This window comes from Homo sapiens, chromosome 13 (genome assembly GCF_000001405.40).
Source record: "Homo sapiens chromosome 13, GRCh38.p14 Primary Assembly".
NCBI lineage: Eukaryota > Metazoa > Chordata > Mammalia > Primates > Hominidae > Homo > Homo sapiens.
Genome location: NC_000013.11, coordinates 57,206,275 through 57,217,318, shown reverse-complemented (window position 1 = coordinate 57,217,318; position 11,044 = coordinate 57,206,275). Strand labels below are relative to the sequence as shown.

Below are 11,044 nucleotides of genomic sequence, written 5' to 3'. Positions count from 1 at the left end.
TTGGTGTTTTGTTTCTTCTTTACTTGGCTTGCAGATGGCCATCTTCTCACTGTCTCTTCACATGGTCATCTCTGTTTCTGCACGTGTGCCTGCTGTCTCTCTGTGTATCCAAATTTCCTGTTTCTATAAGGGCACCAGTGGCATTGGACTGGGACCCACCCTAAAGACCTCATTTTAACTTAAGCACTCCTTCAAAGACACCGTCTCCAAACATGGCCACACTCTGAGGCACTGGAGGTTACGACCTCAACATATGAATTTTGGGGAGAAGCAATTCAGCCTCAAACAGAAGGATGAGGTTGATATGATTCTATTTAACCGTCATTCCATATGGGTGCCTTTTATAACGGTAGAATTTTTTTTTTTTTTTTTTTGACGGAGTCTCGCTGTGTCACCAGGCTGGAGTGCAGTGGAGCGATCTTGGCTCACTCCGCCTCCCAGGTTCAACCCATTGTCCTGCCACAGCCTCCTCAGTAATTGGGACCACCAGCGCGCGCCACCACACCCAGCTAATTTTTGTGTATATATTTCTTTTTTTAGCAGGGGCGGGGTTTCACCATGTTAGCCAGGATGGTGTCCATCTCTTGACCTCGTGATCCGCCTGCCTGCGCCTCCCAAAGAGCTGGGATTACAGGCCTGAGCCACCGCGCCCGGCCGTACAGTTTGTATTCTAACACCAACTCATAAGGTAGGTGATGTGCAAAGACTGCAATATATCTAAGGAGGGTGCCACTATTGCAGTTGATATTTTGCTCTCTTAGCACTTCCAGAAAATGCAGCAGGAAGTATAGGCAACTTGCATAGACAGAATATGTGGTGTTTCATTTATTATAGCCAAGATAAAACTGTAAACAACTTCGAGAGTGTGTGTATATATAAATATACACATGTAATTCAACCTATCATAGTGTTAAAGAAAAATAGAACATAAAAAGGAAGTAAAATTTGAAGAAATGTAATATATATACAACAGAAATATCATCTTCACTGTATAATCGTAAATTATTTTTGTTTTATCATAATACAATATTGTGTTTACATTTAGTAGAGGGTAACATTTGGGCATAATTTCAACTCTGTGTAAAAATTCTAATACCACCTCACATCTCATGTTAAAATTTCTTATATAACATTATTTTTATTGCTTGGTACTTTAAAAACAATATCCATACTTTCAGGTAAAACTTAAAGGTAAAACAAGCAATGAAAATAGAACAATAATTTTAAAAAATCCTACCTGATCTCATCATCTATGTAAAACACTTTTCACCCAAAAGTTATTTTCTCTAAACTTTAAGTGATTTCAGCACACTCTTGGTTGCCTACTTACTATTTCTTTGAAGTTCACATATAAATCCATTTACCTTGAGTATAATAATCGATAATCAAAATGAATGACCTGAGTTGGGAACATAGAACCTTTGTAGCTCTGCATAGCCAGTCAAATTAAATTCCATCAGTACTAAAACAAACAAAAATAAGACTATTGGAACTAAATTCTTTCTTATTATTCACTAATTCATTTGTTCAAACCATGCTTGCCTTTCTTCTGCATGTTCCTTGTAATACTTCTTTCTTGCATATTCTACCATATTAGACTTTTGCAACTTTGAACTTCTTGTCTCCCCACTCACCCTTGCACCACACCAAGAATATAAAATCTGAATACGTTTTAAAAAATTATTCCTATTTTATTGCTCAACTAGAACATATTATCTCATTTTAGTCACAAAAGACTTGCACATATGTTGTATATACTCCAAAAAAAAAAAAAAAAGAAAAACTTTTAAGTTTTCCTGATTCTCATCACTCACAATCTAGGTAACAAATCAGTCTTCCTGACCAAAGATGGATATGTTGCCAGATATATGAATTATCTCCACTAGTTTTTCTGTAGTATTTACTTCTCGTGCAGGTATCAGTTGTGTGTCATATTACTTTCCTTTTGTTCTGTCTTCGACAGCTCTTAAAAATCATATTATTATATCTACCAAAGTATTTTTCATGTTTTGCTTTCCCTCCTTTTCTTTAATTTTATTTTCTAATACCTTTGGTGTTCTGCATGTAATTTTTATCTGCTTTCTTTTCACTGGAAACTTTTTCAGTTTTAGCACATATTTACCTTAAGAATTAAAATATACCACAATCCTGAATGGTAATTTAAGAGAAGCTTAAGATAAATTAATGATCAATTAATATGTGATTTAAGTCATTGGTATTGCTGTGAAATTATTACTGGTAAAAAACCAATGCAGCCAATGTTCATCAAAGACACTGATATTTTAAAAATTTAATTCAGATTACCCTTAAAATTGTGTGTTTATGTTCCAGGGTTCATAATAATATTTATATATGTTTTCTCAAATCAGCATTTAAGATTCATAAATACTTATAATTCAGTGAAATTTTTAATTAGGATTTTTAGGAGCTTTCCTATATTTTTCATTATCAATAAACAGTATGTCATTTAAGTATATAAGCCATTAAACATTAAACACTGGAGAGCTAACCAGTTTATTAAATCAGAATCTATTACAATTCCATACCAAATTCTAACAAACCCATCTACAATTGAGGATGAGGATTGGCTTAATTAAGATATTGACATGGGTGTTAAAATATAGCTATATTTTTATCTACACGTGTTGTTTTAGATTTTATTAGTCAAAATATGTTTTTTCTTTCTCTTCTGGGTTCTGTCCTGTCCCACTGATATAAGCCTTTACTATGCAACTTGCTTTAATGGAATGTGTGTGCTATTGGCCATTGGGAGTGTGAGCCATTTCCAAATACTGTATTTTATGTCATATGACCAGGTTTTTATTTATTTATTTTTCCTTTTCTTGGACACAAGTTTCATATGTTTGACCAAATAAAGGAGCTACTCTAAGTTGCAGACTATTTAGGTTTACATCGATTATTATTTGTCTCTATTTTAGCTTTATTTTTAATTGATGAATAATGATTGTATATATTTAATGGATATGATGTGAAGGCTTCAATACATTTATACATTGTGAAATAATCAAATCAGACCAATTACCATATTCATCACCTCAGCTATTTATCATTTCTTTGTGATGAGTAGATTCAAAATTCTTCCTTTTAGCTATTTTGAAATATAAAATAGATTATCATCAACTCTCATGACCATGCTGTGCAATAGAACACCAGAACTTACTCCTCCAATCTCACTGAAACTTTCCACCTGTTGACCAGTTTCTCCCCTTTCCCTGTCCACATCCTGCCCCCAGCCTCTGGTAACCATCATTCTACTCTCCACTTCTATGAGTTTGAATTTTTAAATTACACATATAATGAAATCATATAGTATTTGTCTCTCTTATTATTTAATTATCATAAATAATCCATATAGTTCAGAATTCATATACCTCATATAAATGCCAACATTAACAGTTTTATACAGTTTCACTCAACATAATATCCTCTAGGTTGACCTATGTTGTTTCAAATGACAGAATTTTCAGTTTTTTAAGGCTGAATATTCTGTATATATGCCACAGTTTCATATACATTGGAATGTGTATATATACACATTAGGTTTTTCCATATTTTGGCTATTGTGAATAATTCTGCAATGAACATAGGAGTGCAGACATCTCTTCAACAAGCTGATTTCAATTCCTTCAGGTATATACCCATTCATCAATAATTGATGAATGTAAAAAGTCATAGTAAATGGAAACTTTGCAGAAGGTGACTTTGAATATGTAGTTTGGCTGATCATTTTCCCACAAACTGCTTAAAACTGTTAATGTTGGCATTTATATGAGCTATATGAATTGTAAACTGTCTGGATTATTTAAGATAATTATATTTGAAAACATTTATAAAAATATTAAAAACAACATTTTGTTTGTGTTGATTAAACAAACTCTGTTACCTTTTCATCGGATTTTATTGTAATATATAATTAAAATTTGAGTTATTTCATAATTAATTCATCTTGTTAAATTAAAAATAGTGCTTGTTATATTGTTTTTCATAGTACTTACTCTTAATTTTAATGCCAGACCATCTCTTATGAGGAAGCATGAGTGAATAATGTTCTTGTGCTTTCTTGACTCTAGGGAATAAACCAGGGTTACAAGTGTTGCTGCCTCACCATGGACATCCCACAGGACAATCCACTGAACAAATAACCCTTTTGTGTAGATCCAGGATACTTTTCACTTCCTAAACATAAATCCCACCACATCTGTTCAACCAGCTCTGCTCCAGGATAAAAAAATATATATTGATGAATTTCCAGCCTTGTTTCATATTCTGTTGTTCCCGGCAGCAGATTTATTTTTTATAGTTGTAAACCGCCAAGTCATTTTTTGGTGCTGTCTTTTGTTTTATAAAGTCTTCCCTATAAAGACAAACTACAGAGCATTATCAAGATTTTCTGTTAAATTGTAAAGTTCTTTAGACTTAAATTTAAATTAAGATATATTCTTTAAGTACAAATGATATTTTTAAATTTATCTAAGGGCCTGGTGGAGTATGAAGACAAAAAGAAAGAAAACTCTTAAAGAGGGTCACCTTCACTGATATTGGCAAATCCTTGTGTTTTCTGTCTGAAAGATGATTCATGAATGTTTTGCATCACTTTCCTTTAGAGAAAGAGTGCATTCTTAAAGCATAAACAATACCTATTACAAAGCAGCTTCAGTTTTTTTGTACATTAAAATATATATATAATATTTGTATATATTGTTCTAAATCCCTTGCTCATTCTGAAAAAGTTTTTTTTTCTGACTTGTTTACAATGACTCTCTTTGTTTTTTTACTGAAATCAAGTTAGTACTATCTTCCAAATGACTAGTGTGTAGAGGGAAATTTATAGCACTAAATGCCCACAAGAGAAAGCAGGAAAGATCTAAAATTGACACCCTAACATCACAATTAAAAGAACTAGAGAAGCAAGAGCAAACACATTCAAAAGCTAGCAGAAGGCAAGAAATAACTAAGATCAGAGCAGAACTGAAGGAGATAGAGACACAAAAAACCCTTCAAAAAATCAATGAATCCAGGAGCTGGTTTTTTGAATAGATCAACAAAATTGATAGACCGCTAGCAAGATTAATAAAGAAGAAAAGAGAGAAGAATCAAATAGTTTAGAAGATTTTTTAACATTTAATATTATGTAGAATTTTTTACCTAAATATGATAAGTTTTTATTTAATCTCCAATGGCATCAATATAACATCTGAATTGAAAAATATGGTGTAGGCATCACCTCTTATATAATAAAGCCATCAGTGGGTATTAAATGTCACTGGACTAATAATGGCTAATTACTTAAAAAACTATTTCTCAATATTGGTTATCTAACATATACTTAAATACCTTTAAGAGACACCTCCAAATTATTATATGTAGCTTTGGCCTATTTTGATGAATTAGTAGTTGTTTCTTTCATGACTGAAAATATATCTTAGTAACTTCTTGATATTGATTCTAATGATTTTTATCCATCAATATCATATACAAAATGTATAAATTTTCCACTTGAAAATTCTTAAACTGTTTTTGAACATATAGTATATATCCCCTAGGCTTTTCTTTCTTAAGATTAAACATAATTTCATGTTTCAAACAAATACAATTTCCCTCGAAAAAACTTTAATCGGTTTATTTATAATTGTTATAAAGTTGAAGTGCTGAAGCTTATTCACTGAAACATATTGACTTGCATTAATGTTTTAGGTCCTTGAATATATGATAAGAATTCAAACACAGATATATATATATATATATATATAGAGAGAGAGAGAGAGAGAGAGAGAGAGAGAGAGAGAGAGAGTGAGAGAGAGAGAGAGAGAGAGCGCCTTTGGGGAGGGGCCCTGCCTTTTGCAGCATAAGCTCAACTACACTTTAAATACATATATACACATATATATATACACATATATATATATATATATACACACACATATATATGTAGATTTTCCACATTTCTTCCTTCCTGTACATTTATATGGGTGACCATGAGCAAACCAAAAACTTTCAGACGTTAGATTCTGAGCAAGGCTGTTGTTGTTCAAAAGATGACTTATTTGTAATTGTGTAGCTCTTTGGTTTGAGAGATATACTAATCTTAACATCCAGCTATCCATTTTGTCCTTTTCCACTGCCCTGCACACCTCTGCTGGGTGTCCACTGCTCTGCACACCTCATGGATTGATTATCCCTGCTGACCTGGGCACTTATATTTTCTTACTCTGAACTGATGACCAGGTAGGCAAAGCTGGGGACAGGAAAGGGTGCTATCAGAAAACTCCACTCATGGAGGCTTTCACTTTCTTCCTATGTTTCTTTACACCAAACTGCACTTTCCAACCACCACTACCACTACACACACACAGGTAAATTTTCTAATTCCTAAGTCAAGGTTTTGTGTGTGTGTCGTGTGTGTGTGTGTGTGTGTGTGTTTCTGTGAGAAGTCTGGTCTATTAAACTTCCTGGTCGAGTTGTGTGTAGAAGCTTATCAGCCTATGCTAATATGCCATCCTGTCTGGAACAACAACAAAAAAAGTGTAAAGTTATCTTTCTTTTCTAGGGGAAACCTCCCATGCTTGAATTTTCTTTAATTAATTTATTTCTAGGAAAGCTCTCCTTTGATGTTAACTTCACACATAAAAATCAATAACATAGATGAAATAATTCAGAATGTTCTTGGGTCAGAACAATGAATACAAGGGTATAGATGCTCAGAGAGCAGATAGAAATCATGGCAGGACATAAACGGATTTCAAAGGCCTGAGTGTGAGACACATAACACAATGTTGATATTTGGGGTGTAGGCTGCTCAAATGTATTTTCCAAGATGCTGAGTTTATTCATTAATTTTAAGGCAATATAGCTACTTAAAACTAGAGAATAGATTCATATTTGAGAATCAAGTCTTGTATTTTTCTTTTTGGTAAAGTCAGCAATATAATTTTCTTTAGTTATCAGAGCTTATGAATACGATTTGCTATTTTGGATGATAATTGTTTTGCGACTTGTCCAAAGGAGCTAGGGAAAGATAATTTGGATATGGGTTTGAAAGACTTTTTAATTAATTATGTTGACTATTCCACATATGCCTTATGGTTAAATTAATTTATTAATAATATTAAATTTCTACACATTTTAGAAACACTGGAAATAAACATTTTTGGCTAATAAAATAAGCATATGATTGTAAATAGTTTTCACACTAGATTATCTGCTCTGTGCCTTACTCGATATATCACTATTCTATCCCCAATTCCTAGCACGTAGTATGTACTCAATAAACACTTGTTAAATAAATGAAATGTTGATAATGAGTTAAGCCTATTATTAACTACATTTTTATTTTCAGATAGTGTTTTTTTCATATAGATCACTTATTCCATTTCAGATTATGGTGCTACTTCTGTTACCCAACTTAGACATAACTATTTGTTCTTTCATCATGAAACACATGGAAAAAATTTTAAAGACAATCCCGGCTGCTGGAAAACCACAGTAGAGTGAGGACTAGATTATATGAGGGAATTGATTTCATTTTAGTTTAATCTTATCCTGATATAGGAAGCTCATATAAACAAATATCTCTATTTCCCTTCAAGAAATAAATTTCCATTTGCAGCTGGTAAATTGTAATCAACATTGTTTTGCTGATGTGACTTCTGTTAGAATAAGTAATTTAAATGTTTCGTAAAGACCACCCACACATTAAAATACTATTTAACAAATACGCACATTTAGTTTGAAGTTAGTATGTAGCAATGCTTGAATACAAAGTGACAGATATTCTTAAAAATGGTATGCATGTTTGAAAATATTGTTAACTTGTATCTAGAAAGAGGCTATATTTTACATGTCTGTCAGCACATACTTTTAAAAAGGTATTTTTAAGAAAGGCCATTTTAACTGGCTTGAGAATGGCACATGTATACCTATGTAACAAACCTGCACATTCTGTACATGTATCCCAGAACTTAAAGTAAAATTTAAAAAAAATATATTTTGTGGGGATATTTGGGGGCTGCTGGTCCCCACAAAATTTCAGAATTTATATTTTATTCTAGTAGTAGCCAAAATACTTTTGATAAACTTTTTATTTTAAATGAAATTACAGTATTCATCAGATACCAGAGCATAAAATTCATTTAATTAGGGGATCTTTGATTAAAAGATCAGGGAGAAATGTTAAACTATTTTAAGCAACCCTTGTACTTAGCTTAATGAAATTTGGGTAGAGGATTTATTCATTTTATAGATGAGGAAACTGAGGTGCAGAAAGAGAAAAGTTTTACCATATTCCATTTTAATTTTCCCCATTCTTTCTGCTTTGGTCTATTTCTGGCCTGGTCTGGAAAAACAATGAAATTATCACTGATTGACTCCCCCTAAGAAGAAGAAAAAATAAACTGAAAAGTGTGGGGACTGGGGGGCAGATCCTTTTCTAAATAAAGTGTATATTCTTGCTTCAATTGGTTATACAAGAACCGACTGATAAAAACCGACTGTATTTTTCTTTTTTGTTTTTGTTTTTGTTTTTCTTTTTTTTTTTTTTTGAGACGGAGTCTCGCTCTGTTACCCAGGCTGGAGTGCAATGGTGTGATCTCGGCTCACTGCAACCTCTGCCTCCTGGGTTCAAGCAATTATCCTGCCTCAGCCCCCCGAGTAGCTGGGATTACAGATGTGCACCACCACGCCTGGCTAATTTTTTGTGTTTTAGTAGAGACACGGTTTCACCATGTTGGTCAAGATGGTCTCAATCTCCTAACCTCGTGATCCGCCCACCTCGGCCTCCCAAAGTGCTGGGATTATAGGCATGAGCCCCCATACGTGGCCAAATTGTATTTTTCAAAGTATTATGATTAGAATTTACTTTCATATGTTAAAAATATATATTTTAAGCTATTGATATAGAAAAATACTTTTTTAATACTAAGTCAACATTATTTGGAGACAAGCTACATACTACTATTAAGTGTCCCATAGCATCACTCCAAGAAAGAAGAGTAATCACCTTAATAAGTTTTACTTAAAAAAAAATTTCTTCAAGGAATCAGCATTATGTTCAAATATATTACTGTTGTGATTTCTGGAATTGTGGTCTCAAAAGAAAACCTTTGGTTGCTAGGCAAATAATAATGTAATACTTTTAAGTACAATTGTTCATATTACATTTCACACTTAAAAAGTTATAAATTTTTAAAAAATAAAAAAGTGTCAAGTATATTCTAATGATTTTGGAATTCTCCCTTTCAATAGAGATTATAAGCTAGGTTCTCTTAATAAAGAATTGGTTTTAGCATAACTAATAGAGCTTTTTAACAGGGAACCGTACTTGGCACCTAAACCCACAGGTATTGATTTTATACTTATTGAGTGAACTTAGAATAGGTATGTTTTAAAACTTCCACAAGTAAATAAGTCCTTCTGCAGGCCAGGATTGAAAATGAAGCTGTAAACAAACTCTGAAGAGCTGTCTTGATCACTTTGAAGTAGACATATGTACCCTCAAATAATAGAGACTCTCCTCCTTTACATCTCTTTTTATTTCTGTGCTCCCCAATTTATCCTTCTACAATTATTTCCTCCTAACTCTTTCTGAGAATGCAGAAGTGGCTGAGAGGCTCTTGCAAAAATCCAAAATATATAATGTGTTATTCTTTTTAAAGCAAGAGATTTTTGGAGAAACACGGGCCTCTTTTGAGGCTTGCCACACACCGAAAAATAAAATAACATAATAAAAACAATAAAGCAGGTGAATGTAGTTACTACTAAAACATTCACAGAGTACTGCAATTCTAGCTTCTTCAAGAAAAATAGTTGTCTACTCCACCTAATTATAATTTAGCATCTCAAGCTTTTCCTTAGGTCCTCAATATTATCTCACTTTTTACTTTAAGAGCAGTTGTGAAACAATTTTTTAGGCCAAAGTGATCTGTCCCTTTGCATGGCATGGATCAGCATCACAGAAAAATTATAGAAGGAAATACATTGCAATTTTCAGAAGACTGAGACATTCCTCCATACTCTTAAAAGTATTATGAAAATTGTAGAACATTATAGCTTCTTGTTCATTGGTCATTTCTGCTTGAATCTCCCAGGCACATCAACATTCATGGCCAAAATTGAATGCATTATATTTAGTACTAAACTGAAGTCCTCCTCTCACAATAAATAATTCTATTTTCACAGCTATTTCCAAAACTAATAACCTGGAGATCGCTTGTGATTTCTCTTTTGTCTTTGGTGACACTATTAAGACACTGAGTACTGACAATTTATTTCTGAAACATCTCACAAATTCATCTATAGTTATCTTTCTGATAAAGACAATGATCAGATTATCTGCTGCCTGAACTAGTACAACAAAATATTAAATGGCTTATCAAATTTGCACAGTGTAGTAGAATTTTCCCTTAAACCATGTCTGCTCTGCTTTAATTCATTCATTTGATTCCCAAGCCCTAAGAATAAAGATGCCTGACATATGCAGCCCTGAATCATGGAGGTTTGCCTTCTTTCCCGCATCGTCTCTTGCATTCTCCCAATCACACATTCAGTGCCCATAAACTCTGAACTTCAGATATACTGAACTATTTTGCCCATCAAAGTCACCGGCTATCTCTTATTTATAGGCTTTTGCACATGCAAGATTGTGTCCAAAAGCCAACCTCTCAACATTCATTCCCCCCGACTACAAGTCATTCTCCAGATTTTCCTTTTTTTCTGCGCAACCCTTATTTATCTTCCAAGTCTCCCCTTAAATAGCGGTTCTTCTGAGACACATTTCTGGCCCTGAGACTAAGTTAGTTCTTTTTTCATTATTATTTTTATTTTTTTTCTTCTGTTGCATCCGCTATTTCCCTTATAATAATAAGGTATAATACCTCACTACAAATACCTATTTTAGTTATCTTTTCATTGTACCCAAATTCTATGAGAATATGCCTGTGCCTACCTGTCACCTACTAAAGAAAATGAGTACCAAATGAATAATAATTTTTAAAATGGAATGAAATCCCATAGTTAACAAACTGTCCTA

At 33.0% G+C, this 11,044-nt stretch overlaps 1 long non-coding RNA gene across 1 annotated transcript; it reads left to right on the top strand.

The window, feature by feature from the left end:
- Window positions 1–588: 588 nt before the first annotated feature.
- On the top strand, window positions 589–4,272 carry LOC105370216 (uncharacterized). Its single transcript, XR_941982.1, has 2 exons — window positions 589–688; window positions 4,092–4,272. It is a non-coding gene; the product is annotated as an uncharacterized LOC105370216 (long non-coding RNA).
- The last annotated feature ends 6,772 nt before the right edge of the window (window positions 4,273–11,044 follow it).